Source organism: Homo sapiens, chromosome 11, assembly GCF_000001405.40.
Source record: "Homo sapiens chromosome 11, GRCh38.p14 Primary Assembly".
Taxonomy (NCBI): Eukaryota; Metazoa; Chordata; class Mammalia; order Primates; family Hominidae; genus Homo; species Homo sapiens.
In genome coordinates this window covers 36,115,043-36,133,304 of record NC_000011.10, presented here as the reverse complement: position 1 = coordinate 36,133,304, position 18,262 = coordinate 36,115,043, and the positions used below count along the sequence as shown (strand labels likewise).

General features: G+C 44.6%; 1 protein-coding gene across 3 annotated transcripts in view, besides 1 other annotated feature; it reads right to left on the bottom strand.

Annotated features, from left to right (window-relative positions):
- The window catches only part of LDLRAD3 (low density lipoprotein receptor class A domain containing 3), a 288,075-nt gene that overhangs the window by 98,832 nt on the left and 170,981 nt on the right, over positions 1 to 18,262 (bottom strand). The gene's annotated exons all lie outside the window — the stretch shown is intronic.
- Positions 9,276 to 9,445: an enhancer, noted in NCBI's record as "experimental_21343 CRE fragment used in MPRA reporter constructs". NCBI's record gives its function as "activates a minimal promoter by MPRAs in K562 erythroleukemia cells, with activity observed for both the introgressed and non-introgressed 11:36145495 variant alleles {active_cell/tissue: K562}" and the evidence as "EXISTENCE:reporter gene assay evidence [ECO:0000049][PMID:34662402]".

Below are 18,262 nucleotides of genomic sequence, written 5' to 3'. Positions count from 1 at the left end.
CAGCATTCTGGGAGGCTGAGACAGGAGGACTGCTTGAGCCCAGGAGTTCGAGACCAACCTGGACAACATAGCAAGGCCCCATCTCAACTAAAAAAAAGAAAAAAGAAAATGGACAAATGGACTTGGCCTTCTTAGGCCATAAGGAAGATGAATCATCACTGCAGGAGATGCCAGAAAATGCAAAAGGAGAGCTAAGTAAGTTTAAGTTTCCAGATAAAAGGTAAACAAAGGTAAAATTTAATGAGCACATACCATGGGCCAAACACTAGACAAGAGGCTGTTTTAATCAGTATCTCATTTATCCTCTCAAAATAAAAACCCCAAAACACTATAAAACTCATTCTATTATCCCCAAAAGGGGGGAACTGAGGCTGGGGAGAGGAAGTCACTTGCCCAGGGTCACGTGGCTGGGAAGCCACAGAGCTGAGGACCAAACTCAAACCTGCTGACTAACGTGGTGCTCTTCCCTCTGTATACACGGCCCCGCATGAGTACGTTACTTATGAGTGCGTTAAAACAAGCCAAAAACCCCACATGGGCTTAAACCGCTGCATTCACTTGACAAGCACTATGTAAGGTCCTCTCCTATCGGGACTGTAAGGCGCTCAAAAGTGATGTATGGATAGGAAGAAAAAACGCAACATCACCTGAAACCCGAATTAAAAATCCATGTGCTTCTGAGTCCTGAACAATTTCTCTATCACAAAATATTTACTGTGGCTTTGTGACCTTCGACAAACCACCCAACCTTTGTGTGCCCCAGTTTTCTCATCTATAAAACGGGGAAATAATGACACCTACTCCTTCTGGGTTGTTGTGTGATTTAACAAATTTTAAATATAAAGCACTAAGAACAGTGTTGGGCACACAGTCAACACTGTGTAAGTTTAGCCACGCTGCATTATTGCTCTTATTAGATAATCACACATCATTGAAGCATGTGTACACACACACACAGTCACACGTTTTCTTTTTCTCTTCTCTCACACAAAAACGGGTTATTGAGACACATTTTCCAACAAGAGACAGTGGACTTGGCAAAGGAGCCTCTTAATGCAGCCTCCTTTATTTTCCGTCTTCCGCTCTCCTTTATAAATAGGTTTGGCAAACTGATGCTTAATAGCTTAATATCGTGTTCATATTAATCTCACCCTGTCTGAACTTCAAAGGGACACACTGTTCTGACTGCTAATGAAATGAATTTTAGTTGTAAGTTTCCAAGGGATCAGAGCTGGAAAAAAAAAAAAATCCCAGCTGATTTAAAAAGACAAACATCTCCTTGGTGCTCTTTTAAAGCTATTTGGGTTTTACAGAGCCATCGCCCCAAGCAGGGGAAATCCAACAGCCTTAGCCTGGCCAGCACAAGGTCCCACAGACGCTAGATGGCACTAGAACATGCTCGAAACAAAGACCACCCAGCACCTAAGCTCCTCTGGTCCTTTGCCCAGCCCACCCCAGGCCCCAGGTGGGTTCAATGAGGCAAGATGTGTGATATAGACTATACAAACTGGAATAAACCATGCAAATGTTAGAAACTATAAATAGGAGTCAAGGAAGCAATATTACATGCTTGGACAAAATACACCCAGGTATTCTTTTCTGGATTTCAAAAGGCAAATCATCACAATAATTCAGTACTTAATGCTACTGAGCCATACACTTAAAAATGGCTAAGACAGTAGGTTTTCTGTTATGTATATTTCACCATAATTTTTTTAAAAGGCAAAGCATCCCCAATAATAGGAATAGTATAGTGTTTTCATTCCTAAGAAATAAATACAATAATGTAGTCAGTTACCATCTCTTACTCTGGTATAATGTATTCTAGCCCCAAAGCAACAAAAAAGTAGTTATTTTACAAACTGGCTCGTTCCAGGACACTGCCAGGCAGCTCATACCTCTGTTCATTTCGAAAACCTCACTTTATATAAATACCAACCTCCCTATCCTTGAGAAGGCTCCGAAGCAGGTTATTCTCATAGAGAGAAAGCTCTTATGCCCCAAACCAGCTTTGAGATGCGTCTGCTGCTGCCTGGAGCCTCACCATCTCCAATTCATTTGCGTGGAAAGGCAAGACAGCTCGTTTAAGCACAGATTACTGGTGGTGGGGTGAGAGCTGGGAGAACAGGGAAAGCCTCTCAAGGCATGAGCCTTACAGGCATGAGCCACTGTGCCCGGCCTAGAGTGGTTTTTCTGATGCCAATGTGGATAAATCTGCTCCTCTGGTTGGCCACCCTTTGAGCCAACTGCACAGCTCAGGTTGGATTCCAGCTGGAAGTCAGGTGAGGCATCCTGAGATGCCTGGTCTCACCTGGGTTGTGACGGGTACCAGGTAGAGGCTTCTGGCCACCAGCAGGGTTAGATAAAGACATTAGGATCCTGAGAATGGGAGGCAGTCCATGAAAGAGATAGTGCGCACTGGACTTGGACTGAGAGAGGCCTGGGGCTGAATTCCAGATTCCAGAGCTGGCTCCTTCCAGTAGAGTGAACCTGGGCAACTCTCTCAGCCTCAGCCTCTACCTACCACTGCCAAGTGGGGATGATGATAATAGCTCCTCAACCAGCTGCTGTGAGGACTACGTGGGCTGATCTGTAAGAAGGACCTAACATTAACATAGTGCCTTGATGAAGCCTGAATGACTCGCACAAAGCAGGCGCTCAGACCAGGGTTGAGGAGAACAGGGGAGCTGGAGGGGCTCGGAGTCATCACTATCTTAGCAGAAGTGGTTGCTGCTTTGTGGATAAAACTGGCGGCAGCTTGCCCCAGCCCTGCGAGTCATTCAGGCTTCATCTGGGCAAGGAAGCATTCCCTCCAGCCTTCTGCCCTCCAAACTTCCTTCCGAACCTTTTGATGGCCTCACGCTGTCCTGAGGATCAAGGCTGGGATCTTAATACTTTTTCTAAAATCCAGCCCCTTCCAGCCCCCGTGGACACATCCAGACAAGCCTCTGCACACTTCATTTGTGAGTTCTATCCCGTCAGCCCCATTCTCTTTACCTTATGCCCTCACAAATGCTGCTCCCTCCACCGGGAAGACTCTTCTCTTCAGGGTCTTATCACCCTTCAGGTCTCAGCCAAATGCCCCTTCCTCAGGGAAGCCCACCGTGCTACTATCGTGTCCTACACTTTTCCTTACACGAATCATCACACTTGAAATTGCCTGTTCAATGCCTGTCTCTCAACTCTTCAGTGAACTGTAAGCATAGGGTCTCAGCTGATAAAAGCTAGCCATTACTATTACTATCCATTCAACAAATATTGACTGAGCCCCTCCTGAGTTCCAGGCACCACTATGGGGGCTGAGGATACTGCAATGAACAACAAACAAAACACGGAAGTTCCCTCCTGGAGCTTTTATCTTACAGAGGGAGACTAGCAAACAACAAGAATGAATGTAAGGACAGTGTACACCCAGTGGTGATAAATACTACAGAGAAAAATATAGCAGGGAAGGGAAAAGATGCAGTTTGATAGAGGGTGGTCAGGGAAGGTCTCACTGAGCAAAGACCCAGAGGAGGTGGGTGGATTGGGGAGAGTGTTGGGGGTGGTGAACATTCCAGGCAGGTTTTAGGGCCAAGAAGGAGGCTTAGGGCAGATGTTTCAGCTGGGATGCCTCCTTCCACATTTTCTGACTGCCTCAGAGCAATGATCAATTGCATGGCCTCTCTATGCCCTAGGTAAGGGAATCCACGCAACAACCTAAGTCATGCCTGTGGCTCCCGGGAAGGGACCTGGCACAAAGGACGATTTATAAAATCTGAGTGCAGAACATCCCTTGGGGTCCCAGCAAGGTCGGATTTGATACTGGCTCACCTCCTCTGAAGGGACTCTGGGACAGGACCATTCCTAGTTCCTCGTTCAACTTTCATATTGGCCTTCTAGGTTGGCACAGGCTATTGGAGATGAAGGCTCTGGGGCTGATTTCACAGGGAATCCCAGACCACATACCTCTGCTCAATGTTCGAATCAGCAAAACACCAAGTCCTGCTTGCAGCAGCCTCTGCCATCGACAGTTGCAAGCCAAATCCTTTGGGTTTTGTTTTTGTTTTAGAAAGGACTTAGAAAAGGGCTAATAGTGTTCTTCTCAGAAGCAGGCAGAGAACAAATGCCATATGCTCTTCTAAATTAACCTTCCCACACAATGACCGGGACATTTCTATCTGGGAAGGTCTATTAAATCTCTCGAGCTGGAGGCAGGGGCTGGTTCCCTCATCATTATTCCTCTCTACTCCCCAAACATCAAATCTAGTATTGAGACCTGTACTTCTACTTCCCTGACATCTCTTGACTTTGTCCATTTCCCTCCATCTCACAGGGAAAGCCACCACCATCCCTCATGTAGACTACAAAGGTAGCATCCCAGCCAGTGTCTCTCTACTAACCTTGGCCTCTGCCCATCACTGTTCCACCGATGCTAGGGTGATTTTTCTTTTCTCTCTTTTTTTTTTTTTTCCTTGAGACACAGTCTCACTCTCTTACCCAGGCTGGAGTGCAGTAATGTGATCTCCACTCACTGCAACCTCAGCCTCCTGGGTTCAAGCGATTCTCCTGACTCAGCCACCTGAGTAGCTGAGACTACAGGTGCCTATCACCACACCAGGCTAATTTTTGTATTTTTAGTAGAGATGGGGTTTCACCATGTTGCCCAAGCTGGTCTTGAAGTCCCGACCTCAGGCAATCTACCCACTTCAGCCTCCCAAAGTGTTGGGATTACAGGCATGAATCACCGTGCCCAGCCTAGAGTGGTTTTTCTGATTAAAAACTGGATTGTAGTTCTGCCCTTTGGGCTCCCCACTGCTCTCGAGATAAAGTCCAATTTCCCAGGTGCACGGGCTTCTACAGTCCTTTATGATGGCACCCTCTGGCATCTCTACCCACGAGTCCCAGGGGGAGCATCTGTGCATGGTGGTTTGGTAAGCTTCACTTGTTGAAGCATCCAGCACAAGGCTGGGCAGAAGAAATTGCGGTTAAATGCGTGAGATGGACCAATATTCTCCAGCTAGCAGGAGGCAGAGGAGCTCCCTGTCCCTGGGCCAGACCCCTATGGGGAGGGTATTTATACAGATGCTGATTAATTGTTTGCCTACACACAGTATTACAAACAAACAGGGAATTAATTCTTCATCTTTCAGTTCCCATTCTAAGTTTAATTGCCTACATGTCATATACATATATATATATATATATGTAAAAACAACTCTGCCATCAATACGCAACAGTTGAGTTATGAACCTCCCGGCCACCTGATGCCTCAGATCAGTGAGTGTGGGGTAGCTCCTGCCTCCTCGGTGTACATCCACCAGGAGGAGGCTGCTTTGGGGAAACAGCTGGAGAAATTCCCAACATATATCTTTGGAAGGGCATTAAAACACCTCAACTGGTGGACCTTTGACCCAGGGAAAGTAAAGGCAAGTGCATATTTTGGGTACCTGCAGAAGAACAAAAAATACAATACTAGGTAATAAAACAGTGATTCAGAGCATGAGCTTTGGAATCAAATTCTTACAAGCTGTGTGATCTTGGGCAGGTCACTTAACCTCTCTGAGCCCTTACATCCTAAACTGATATGAAGCAGATTTGAGGAGCAAATGACATAACCTAAATAAAAAACTTAGCATGGTGGCTCAGACATGGTAAGAAGTCTACTCAGGTTAACTAACATTATAGCTTTACCTACTGTTACTTCTGATGTAGGAGCAAAAACTGTTGTCAAAGCCTCTGTATCACAACAATAAGACTAACCCAGCAGCATCAAGCATTTCTTGAGTACCTACTATGTTCCAATCCTGTTCTAAGAATTTCACAAATATTAATCACATCTTCCTAAAAATAACCTAACAGGCTAGTACCCCAATTTTACAGATGGTGAAACTGAGACAAAGTGAGATTTAAGGAACCAGCCAGGATTAAACAGCATGTACTATATAAATTCAAATATATAAGTGAAAAACACCTTCCTCTCAGTACTGTTTTATTGTGTAACTTTCACCATAAACTATTCATAATTGATAATCCTTCAAACCTCTGTTTAACCCCAATTCCATATGCAAATCTGTAGTTTTATTATATTAATATTTCATTATATAAACAATAAAGTAAAGACATTCCTTAAACCTGTATCTTTAGCTTCTAACAGTCATTTTTTTGCAGTCTTCTATATTAAGATTGCAAGATCAAGTGTTGACAAGAATACAGGTGTTGGTTATTTTTTAATGCGTGTCTTTCTTTCAAAACACAACAGTAATGTGCTCAGTGTAAAAAACTGAAAAATGGGCAAAACCAGACATTAAATTCTCTACAATCCACCACCAGGGATGACCACTGCTCACATTTGTTGAATTTTCCTTTTGGGCTGATTCTGCACAATTTTGTTTACACAGTCGAGTTCACAGGATGCACTTGCTCGGCAGTGGGTTTAACTCTGGGTGATTATGCATGTTCTAATTACTTAGCCATTCAGGACACCCACTGGTCTTACAACATAGGTTCTCTGCAGATTATAACTCCACAGAGTTCTTTCTTCCTTTCAACAGAAATTAAAAAGGAAATTAAAGCCACAGACATACCAAATAACACCAGGAACACTGGAGTTCCCGGAGACTAAAAATCAAAAGGCAACTTAGACCACCCAGCATCCCATTATTGCATACGTGAATGAGCTTCCACTGAAAAACCCAAACAAGGCTGATAGCCCTGATGGATGATCCGGGCTCCAGACTCCGCTGCCCCAAAGGCACAGCCAACAACTGGCTTCTTCTGGGGACCAGCCTCCCGACCCTGACCACACCGAAGGCCAATCCTCAACCTCTTCCCTGCATGCTGGAATTGGCTGAAATGGGGCTGGCAGGGGTCTTGGTGATAACTTACTCTCTCCAATAAGAGATCTGAGCATATTGATTACATTAGGAGTGATTACAGTGGGATAAAAGAAACCCTGCTCTTGGTGGGTGTAAGCCTTGATTTAGGAACAGGGCACAGGGCTGGAGAAGGTAAATGGTGCCTGATGAGCAGATTCACGCCCAGGAACTGAAGGACAATGCAGTGCCCTTGAGAGGCCAGCAGAGATAGGTGATGAGGGGGCGGGCAGTGCAGGCAGCGGGGACCAGCAGCAGACAGAAGCAAGGCATCGGGAGCAGTGGTGGGGTTCTAACGCTTCCTGCGGGATCCTGCCAAAGGAGAACCAAAGGCAAGAGGAGAGCAGAAAGCAGGACTGAGCCCTCCAAACAGCACTGTACGTGAAGGGTGGGGAGGAGCATCGCAGGCGCAGATCACAATGTGCAGACTGACTTCCTGGTTCCACAGTGTCTCCAAATCGGCCTCATTTGTCCCTGGTGGGGTCCCAGCATAAGCCTACAGCTTCTCTATCAGCTGCCTTCCAAGGGGGGTAGCCTTTTGCAGCAGATCAGGTTGAGGGGGTTATGGGAGGGGACGGAACAGGACCATAGAGCCTACCAGCCACACCCTCCATGTGGCTTGAAAACATCTTGTGCACTGCAGGAGCAAGAAGACACCATTCTCCACCACCAAAACTCTGTCCACCTCCACCAAAATAACTTACGGAATCACAAAAAGTGGTCTCCCAAATCTGTTCACCTTACAGCACTGTTTGGGCAGTTGGGTGCCGAGTAGTGGAGATCAGCACACCTTAAAGAACAACCCTTTGATCACCGTGTCATCTCAGATGGAGCAGTCTCACACTGAGCTTACAAACTCACCCCATCGACCAGCTGAGGCCTGTTTACCCTTCTGCGATTAGAAATTCATTCATCCATTCAACAAACATTGACTATCTACTATGTGCTAATGATTTTAATCATGATGACTAACAGCAGTGAAACATGTACTGCTTGCTGCGTATTAGGCACTGTACAAAGCATTTTTATGTCTTAATTCATTCTACACAACAATATCATTATTCCTATTTTACAGGCAGAGAAAACGAGGACAGAAAGAGAAAGTCATCCGCCTAAAAGTCACATAGTCGACAATAAGTGGCAGAGCTGGAATTTGAACCCGGGAAGTTGCTTTCAGAGACCATGCTCTAATGCACTCTACTGCCTCTGTGTACCAGGATCTAGGTACACATAAGTGAATGAAACAAGTATGATCCCTGCTTACATGGAATGCACAGATCAGAGTGCAGACCCACAATCATAAAGGCACAACTGATAAGTATGATAACTGCCCTGGAACAAACACTCTGGACACTGTGAACAATAATACTAAGGGTGAGGAGGGAAACAGCTAAGGTAGAACGGGTGACCTTGCAGGAACACAGTTCTAGGCAGAGGTAACAGCACCTGCAAAGACCCTTAAACAGGAAAGAGCTTGGCATGTCTAAGAAATGGAAATGAGGAGGTCAAGGCAGGCAGATCACTTGAGGCCAGGAGATCAAGACCAGCCTGACCAACATGGCGAAACCCCGTCTCTACTAAAAATACCAAAATTAGCTGGGCATGGTGGCACAAGCCTGTAATCCCAGCTACTCGGGAGTCTGAGGCATGAGAATTGCTTGAACCCAGGTGGCAGAGGTTGCAGTGAGCCAAGATCATGCCACTGCACTCCAGCCTGGGCGACAGAGTGAGACTCTGTCTCCAAGAAAAAAAAAAAAAAAGAAAGGAAAAGGAGACTAGCGTGCCGGACAAGGTGGAGGATACCAGGAGAAGATGTGCTTGAAGACCAGTTAGAACATACAGGGTATGTAGTCTGTGGTAAAGGGTTCAGATTTCACTCCAGGTGCAGTGAAAAAACTCCCAAAATACCCACCTTGCAGAGCCCAGTTGGGAGAGCCGTGGTTAAGGGAATCACCAGGCTACCCCAAGCTGTGTGACTTTTGTCAAATGAGTTCATCTCTCTGGGTCTCACTACCCTTATATGTAAAACAGGAATAAGAATACCTACCTTATAGGGTTGTTTTATTAAAAAAGTCAGTTACAAATGCTACCTATGCTAGTGCCTGGCATATAGTATATTGCTTCCATGATACTTGGTAGCCTCAGCCTCCACAAACTCCAAGTTTTCTCCATGTATTCAATAGCCTTCCTATTTTAGTAGGGGAAGTGAGACTGATAAGGGTAGAGACAAAAAGGAGAAGGAATGAGGCCAAATTAATTTGTGATCAATACTTCTTGTAGCTATTACGGTGACAGGCACCAGATAAACACAAATAGAGCTGAAGACCAGCTTCTCTGCCAGCTGTTGCCATCAGTTGCTTTGGACAATTATGCAGGCAAATGCATAACCTTTATATAATTAAGCATTCCCTGACATCTTATTTGCAGCTCTTCTTTTTTCATCCTCCCCCTTTTATTTAGTCTGCTTTCAGTTGTGAAGGTCCAGCTGCCGGCTTCACTCGGATGCGCTGACTTACGGTAATTTTGAGTTAAGCTTTATTTTACAGTCTATGTAAATAATGAGGCGGAGGCAGACTCAATAAAAGGCAGCCTGGCTTCAGCCAATATTCAACTCTACAGCCACAGCCGGACTTTAGGAGTCCGGGTGGTTGGCACAGACCCTCGGACAAGAGTCAGGGGGTCGGCACTGTGCCACAGCCTGGCTGGACTCCTGGAAAACAGGACATCTGCCAGGCCAAGGGGCAGACATTTGTGGCTAGGGCCTACTCCCCCTCCAAACTTCACTGTGAAAGAGGCATAACTGTTTCCAATTCTTCACCCTTTCCACACCCGTGCACTTGGCCATGCCACCTTGCAGCCTCTCTGGCTGGAGATAGAATATATTTATCTGCCCCACTGATCTTGGGCTTGGTCATGTGACTTACCTTGGGGTCAATGGGACAAATGAGCAGATGCTTAAAATATGCTTATAGAGCTGGGCTTGCGATTTTGTACTTCTAATACTGCCAGGAGAAAACCATGCTGTGGGGCAGCACATTGCTCCCAGGAGAAAGAAAAGCAGGTAGGGCAAACCTGCACCAGCTTGTAGAATGGAGCTAAGCTTGGTGAGCTACGATTAGCTGAGCTCTAGGCTGGGTTCAACTCTTGTGTTGCACACATCATATTACATTTAAAAATAAGCACTGATGGTTACTCATTTGAAAGTATCTGCTGAATACTTATTATGTACCACACTTTTATTATTATTATTATTATTATTATTTTGAGACGGAGTCTCGCTCTGTCGCCCAGGCTGGAATGCAGTGGTGCCATCATAGTTCATTGCAGCCTTGACCTCCTGGGCTCAAGTGATCCTCCCACCTCAACCTCCCAAGCAGTCGGGACTACAGGCATGTGCCATCATGTCTGGCTGATTTTTAAATTTTTGTTGTTGTTGTTGTAGAGACAAGGTCTCACTGCGTGGCCCAGGCTGGTCTCAAACTCCTTAGCTCAAACAATCCTCCCACCTCAGCTTCCCAAAGTGCTGGTATTTATTACAGGCATGAGTCACTTTCCTAGCCTTGTATGAAATTTTATTTTATTTATTTATTTAAAAATTGAGATAGGATCTCGTTATGTTGCCCAGGTTGGTATTGAACTCCTGGGCTTAAGCAATCCTTCTGCCATGCCCTCCCAAAGTGCTGGGATTACAGGCATGAACCATCACACCAGGCAGTACCATGAGTGCATAGAAAAGGAAGCAAGCAGTTAGATAGGAATTATCTGTTCACAAGTTTATCTCCTTCACTAGACTACAGGCTCCTAGGGGCTGGGGATGGAGTTTTTTCCTTTTGGTTTCCCAGCACCTAAAACAGTTCCTGCTTAATAATAATAGTAATTATTATTGTTATCATCATCGTCATGCAGTAACCACAGAACGAATAATTGCAGTGTCTATTTATGGAGTCCTACCATGTGCCAAGCCTGTGCTAAGCTCTTTACCAACGTTATTACACTTGATAGTCACAATTAAGGAGATGAATCCTGTTTCCATTTTTCAGATGGAAAATCTGAGGCTTGGGGAGGTGGCTTCATCAGTTCCTAACCCTCATGTGTACAGCACAAGCCCTTCCCACTTCTCCCCCTGCACTGAGCCTCCAAATCCTTGACCACTCTGTTCTGGATGGCATCTACAAATTGTTCATGCCCATCCTTTTGCTTCCTCGCTTGGGCACACAGCACAGCCCTTCCTCATCATTTTCTGCTTGTTTACTTGTTCCTTTGGTCCCCCAAACCAAACTAAGAACCTCAGGTAAAAATCCTAAGGTGCATGGATTGTGTCTGTGGAAGGCATAGTTAAGAGCTTGGGCTCTGAGGTCACAAGAGTGTGGGTTCGAATCCTGGCTCTGCCATTTACTGGATGACCTCATGCCTATCCCATTGTCTCCCTTAACCTCACTTTCCCCTCCTGTAAAATGGGGATTGTGATAATAGAAATAACTTCCTCAAAGGATTCCGAAATGGTGTAAAACACGAATGAGCAGTGCCTGGCATGCCGCGAGGGCTCAGTAACACCAGCCATTGCAGTGCCCTCCCTCTCTTTACCCGATGGCAGGTGGGAGGTGCTGGATTTGTGAGGAAGAAGGCCTCACGGCCTTGCCTGCTCCCACACTGGCACAGCATCACCACTCCAAACTAGAGGCGACCTTTTGGGTTTATGTACTGTGTGAGAAGCACAGAGGCTATGGATTCCTAGCATAAATCATAACAGATAGCTCATCAAGCTCTTATTTATACAAACCAGCTCTCCCTGCCTGAACACTTCTGTGCATGTCTCTCTTTTGCGATACTACTTCTCCAGAATTCCACAACCAGCAATTATTTTCCCGAACCATAATAATTTGATACTCATGGCGCACCCTTCCCAGGAGCCATCGCCATTGTGGTGGTGGACAAAGTGGGCCCTTGCTGTTTTACAGGACAGGGTAGAATGCCCTGGGTGTACGTGCTTACATGATGGCATTTCCATACTTTCCTCAGACTGTTCCACAGGCTGAAATATCAGCTCTGTGGCTCTTCATTTATATTCCAGCCTCGAGGCTGCACTCCACCACCCCACCTCTCTCCCTCCTCCCCTTTTCCTACCATGTGAAACAATTCCTCTCCCCCGGGTGTCTTCTGGCTCCAGTCATCACTCTCACTTAGGCAAACCCTTTCTATGGATTTCATTCCCCTAATTTTCTCCCATAAATCAATCCTCCCTTCCCTTGGCCACTGCTGCTCTGTCTGGATTACTCCTCTGGTCGTTTATTCATTTCATCCAATTGCATATTCAACGAATGGTTATTGAGTGTCTATGATGCCCTGGATACCGGGGACAGAATAGTGAACTAGAGAGGCGGTGGCTTAGTTGGGGCTGCTCTAACAAAATACCATGGACCAGGTGAACAACAAACATTTATTCCTCCTGGTTCTGGAGGCTGGGAAGTCTAAGATCAAAGTCCTGGTAGAATTAGGGTCTGGTGAGGGCCCATTTCCTGGTTCACAGACAGTGTCTTCTCACTGTGTCCTTGCACAATGGAAAGACAGAATGTGCTCCCTTGTACCCCTTTTCTAAGGGCATCGATGAGGGCTCTGCCCTTATGACCTAATCACCTCCCAAGGGCCTCATCTCCTAATACAATCATACTGGGGGTTAGAATTTCAGCATATAGAATTTGCGGGAGACACAAACATTCAGACCCACAGCAGGCAGTTTAGTCTCACTTCTGGAGGTGTAGACTGGCATCTGGAGGTGGGCTGCTGGGTTCAAACCTGGCCCCTTCACCTACTAGCTGAGTGACCCAGGGCAAATTAACTAATGCCTCTGGGTCTCATTTTCTTCATTGGTAAAACGTGGATACTCATCACTGCCTCATGAGGTTCCCCCAAGGTTTCTTTTTTTTTCAAATTCCTTTTTTCCCTGTGCTAACTTAGTCTAAGATCTCACAAGGTTTAAATAAATAATATGCATAAAGTGCTCAGGAGAGTGCCTAGCACATACTAAACACTCACAGGACAGTTTCCAATGAGTACAACTACTGCTACAACTATCACTATCTGTGGAGCAGAAAATATTCTGGTGAAGGAGATTGGCACTGGTTCTCTGCAGGAGACGTGTGTGGTGTTATAAGGTCACTCAGTGAAGAAGAGATCTAACCATTTAAAAAAAAAATGCCTGTTACATCATCATACAGCTTCGGCTTGTCCCAACTAAATATGAAGACAGAGACAATCACACACTACTTGTGTATTTGTTTCCAGACTAGAAATATAGCCAAGGGAGTCTATGCAGTGTATTTATTTAAAACAGCAGACAAGGGTGCCAAGACAATTCAGTGAGGGAAAAAATAACATTTTCGATAAAAGATGCTGGGACAACTGGACATCCACATGCAAAAGAATGATGCGTAACTCCCACCATACATAAATATGAACTCAAAATGAATCACAGACTTAAAAATAAGAGCTAAAACTACAAAACTCTTAAAAGAAAATGTAAGAGTAAATCTCTGGCACTTTGAATTAGGCAATGGTTTTTAGATATGACATTAAAGGCACAAGCAATAATAACAACAAAATAGATGAGTTGGACCTCATCAAAATTAAACCTTTGTGTGGCAAATGATGCTGTTAAGAATGTGAAACGACAACTCAGAATGAGAGAAAATATTTGCAAATCGTGTATCTGATAAAGGAATTGTCTGAAGAATTAAAAAAAGAACTTTTACAACTCAACAATCAAAAGACCTCAACTTACAAATGGGCAAAGGACAGCAACAGACATTTCTCACAAGAAAGCATACAAGTGACAATAAGTACATGAAAAGATGCTCAACATCATTAGTCATTAGGAAAATGCAAATCAAAACCACAGTGAGATATTATTTCACACCACTAGGATAGCTGTCTTCAAAAAAAAAAACAACACAGAGAATAATAAGTGCTGGTGAGGATGTAGAGAAGTCAGAACCTTCATGCACTGCTGGTAGGAATGTAAAATGTGAAACAATGTAGCAGCTTTGGAAAACAGTCCAAAATAGCAGAAAGCAGTTCCTCAGAGTTAAAACAGAGTTCCCACATAACCCAACAATTCCACTTCTAGGTATAAACTCATGAGAAATGAACACATATGTCCACACAGAAACTTGCACACAAATGTGCATGGCAGCCTTATTCATAATAGCCAAAAAGTGAAAAAAATCCAGAAGCTGATACATACTGTAGGTTAGAATCAAGAGTGTTCTTTGAATGTGAGGACTTTTTTGCTTATCTTTTGTGGTGGATATCAAGAAAATTACGGACGAACCTTTTTTATTTTTTATTTTTAGCTCATCAGCTATTGTTAGTGTATTTTACTACACTAACAATTCCCCAAGGCAATTCTTCTTCCAATATGGCCCAGGGAAGCCAAAAGGTAGGACACCCATGGTTACATGAACCTTGAACACGTTATGCTAAGTGAAAGAAGTCAGTCACAAAAGAACACATATTATATAACTCTATCACTATAAAATCTCTAGAAGAGGCAAATCCATAGAAACAGAAATCAAACTGGGGCTGCCCAGGGCTGAAGGAAAGGTGCAGGGAGTTCATAGGGAATGACTGTGTGTGGGTATGGGGGTTTCTTTCTGAAGTAATTAAAATGTTCCAAAATTAGACAGTGGGGATGGCTGTCTAACTATGTGAATACACATTGAATTGTGTGCTTTAAATGGGGGAATTAATATGGTATATTAATTACATCTAAATAAAGCTGTTAAAAAAACCCTAAAACAAAATAATATACTTATTGACTGATACCTTCTGTAGTGGTGCTCAGGACCCCCAAATTGAATCCAGTTCAGTTTAGGGCTTCTACTTGGCAGAAAATGAGGTATTTTTTTTCTCTCTCTCTCCCTCCTTCTCTCTCTCTCTCTCACACACACACACACACTCACTCTTACTTTCTCACTTCTGTTTGGAGACATGTGTGTCAAATGGCACAGTAGTAATGTGCTGATACCATATACAATGCCATGCAGACGTTTCCCTCTAATCACTACACCATAAGTTAATTTTTTCCCCTTAACAAGGAGCATGATGAAAACAGACCTCAGTTTTAGAGTCCAAAGAACCAGGTTCCCATTCGCAGTTCTTGCCATTTCCTAGCTGTGTGACCTTGCACAGATTACATCATCTCTCTTGGTCTCCATTTTCTCCTCTATAAAACAAAAGAGTTGGTCTAACACCTTTCAACCAGAGTACTATTGGTATCTGGAGTGGGACAATTCTTTGCTTTGTAAGACTACCCTATCATGGAGGATGTTAAGTTTCCCTGACCCTATGATTAAATGCCAATCACATCTCCACCCCTACGCCAACACTGTGGAACTCACCATCCACATTTCCAAATGCCCTCTCTCAGCCCCACATTTTTCCACCACCTTTGGTTAAGGATCACTATAACTAGATATTCTCCAGGGCAACTCTTCTAGCTCCAAACACACCTTGATGCTGGCCTTGGTGCCTTCTCCTTTGATAACTTCTGCCCCATAGAGCCCTGATTACACTTATTTCCACTCTCCAGCTCTTTCCACCAATGTTTATAGATATCTTACATAATAATCTGAATTTTACCACCATATTAGGAGCTGAAGGATTGGCATAGCGGAGAAGCCACCATTTAAGGCATCAAGGCCATCACTGACACTGCTCCTGAATCAGAGCAGAGCTGAAGTGGAAGCTCAGTTGCAGACACCACAGCAGCCACGGCTGTCACACTGCCCATCACACTGTCACGCTGGGTGGGAACCAGGGAGCCAGGCAACAACCAGTTCAGTTCCAGCTCTGCTGGGGTGTTCCGATGTTTTAGGTTTGTCCTAGTTTAATAATTCTGATAATCCATGGAATGGTTCAGATCCAAAATACATTACTGAGATACAGAGAGTCACAGTGGTGGAAATGAAAATGACAATGGCCAAACCCAAGATCAGTTCAGAAGTCAGCAAACGAGTGTAGTTCTTTCTAGTTTTTGCTTTTGTTTCAGTTCATATCCCAGTTTTAAATATAGTATGTATTAAATATGATGTGAAGTCAGATTTTAACACCCTGCAAGTGTGAGAATTTTGCAATTCTAATAGAAAACACACCATAAATTAGTCTAAGGTGACTCATCTACGCCAAATGTCTCAAAGTGTGATTGTCTAGAATGGATCACTGATCTCAGAGGCTCCTTCCTCCTTTTCCTTCCAGATTCTACCTCACAACTTTTGCTCTAAATGATTACTTAGGCAGGCCAGGTGCGGTGGCTCATACCTGTATAATCCCTGCACTCTGGGAGGCCAAGGTGGGCAGATCACTGGTGGGTAGATCACCTGAGGTCAGGAGTTCGAGACCAGCCTGGCCAACATGGTGAAACCCCACCTCTATAAAAATACAAAAATTAGCCGGGCATGGCAGCTCGCGCCTGTAGTCCCAGCTACTCAGGAGGCTGAGGCACGAGAATTGGTTGAACCCGGGAGGCAGAGGTTGCAGTGACCCAAGATTGCGCTACTGAAGTCCAGCCTGGGTGACAGAGTGAGACTCTATCTCAAAAAAAAAAAAAAAGAAAAAAAGAAAAAGAAAGGTTACTCAGGCAATGACAAGGCAAGTCTTTGTCCTGATAAATAATCAAAATATGGTTAATTTCCCCAAACTAATCAAGAAAACTAATCAAGAATTACACGTGGCTTTTAAACTAGTGCCAGTTGTTATTTTTTTATTTTTTTATTTTTTATTTTTTTAGTCTCCTCCCTTGATATCTGAGGTGCCAATCACTAGAAATGAAGAGAACCACATAATGCAGGGAGTCTCTCTTGTCCAAGGATGCATCCCAGGTGCCTAACACTGAATTAACAAAGGCTAATACGAGATTCAGCTCTGTTATTTGTAATACAGTTTCTCTGAACACAATTGGGGGAGTTATTATAGTGGGCACTTTAGACAATAGAAGCGCCTTATGAGCATCCCCCCATCCCCGCCTTCCTGGAAGAGGGTCGGTTTCACCCCCAGCTATATGTGAACATTCCACTGGTATTTCCTTTTTTTGTTAGGCCAGGAAGCAAGATACCAGATGGAACCAAGCTGGGACGCTGGCTTCTTGCTGGTAGGCAGGAAAAAGAAAACCCTTGTCAGCTGTCAGAGACAGAGTACACTGGGGAACCCATCTGGTTCTTCAATTTGGTGTTTTTCGAAAGATGGAATGGCTTGGGCTGGTAGCTCTGATGGTTGCTGGTTATATAGGGGAATGGTGGTCCATGGGGAATGGAACTCACACTTAGAAGTACCTGCTAAGTGCTGGACAGCCTTTCTCACATTTCCTCCCAGCAATCCTAGAGGCAGGCCTGGTTGCCTTTGTGAAGCTCAGAGTGGTTAAGTAACTTGCTCAAAATCACAGAGCTACTAAGTGGTACAGCTGTTGCCTGACCTATCCAGAACCTGGGCTCTTAATGTTTTATATCATGAATATGTTAATATACATGCTAAGGTAAGGGGGAGGCCTTGCAAAACTAGCTTACTCCTGAGATTTATACCCAAAGCAGAAGGACTTTATTTTTAAAAACTTTCTCACATCTAATGTTCTCCTCCATATCCTCCATGCCTAGCACAGGCCTGGCACAGAGAAAGTAAAGGTATCTCAGGCTTCAGTCTCATGCCAAGGAAGTGAGGGATCAGGGACTCAGGCTCAGCTTCCATCAGAAGCACCATATACAGCCTCGCTGGATGATGCTTGAGGTGAGGAGGGACTGGGGCGTCCTTTTGCGGATGTGACCGTGGGGTGATAAGGAATAGCTGTGTGTGACAGAAACATGACACAGCAGAGCTTGAGGTCAGTAGCCTTTCTGGCCTTCGTGTGCAACCTCAGGGAGTGGTCATCTTTGACAGAGTTCAGGAACACAAGGGCCACATGAATGCTCTCTTGGGAAGCGGGGGTCCAGTGAAAGGTTCGAGCTGCCCCTAGGAAAAGTAAGACTCTGAAAATGGGTACCTACTATTAGCTTCTCTATCAAGACGAGCACACTGACGATGCAGCAAGGAGATGCCTTTTTATTGACTGAGGTTCCAATCAGCAACTACTACATAACAAATCATCCCCAAATTTAACACCATCTTTATCATCTCTCACAGTTTCTATGGTTTAGGAATTTGAGAAGGAAGCGGTGGTTTTGGTTCCAGGTCTCACAAGTCATTGCAGTCAGACAGTATCTGCAGCTGGGACAGCAGTGGCTGAAGCAGCCAGGGGTGGCCCAAGCATCTCTCTCCTCTCATTGGCCTCTCCAGGGTCTCTTTGTGTAGATAGTTCGGGCTTCCTCACAATATGGCAGTCTCAGGGCACCACATTCACATGGTGGCTGAAGCTCTCAAGAGGG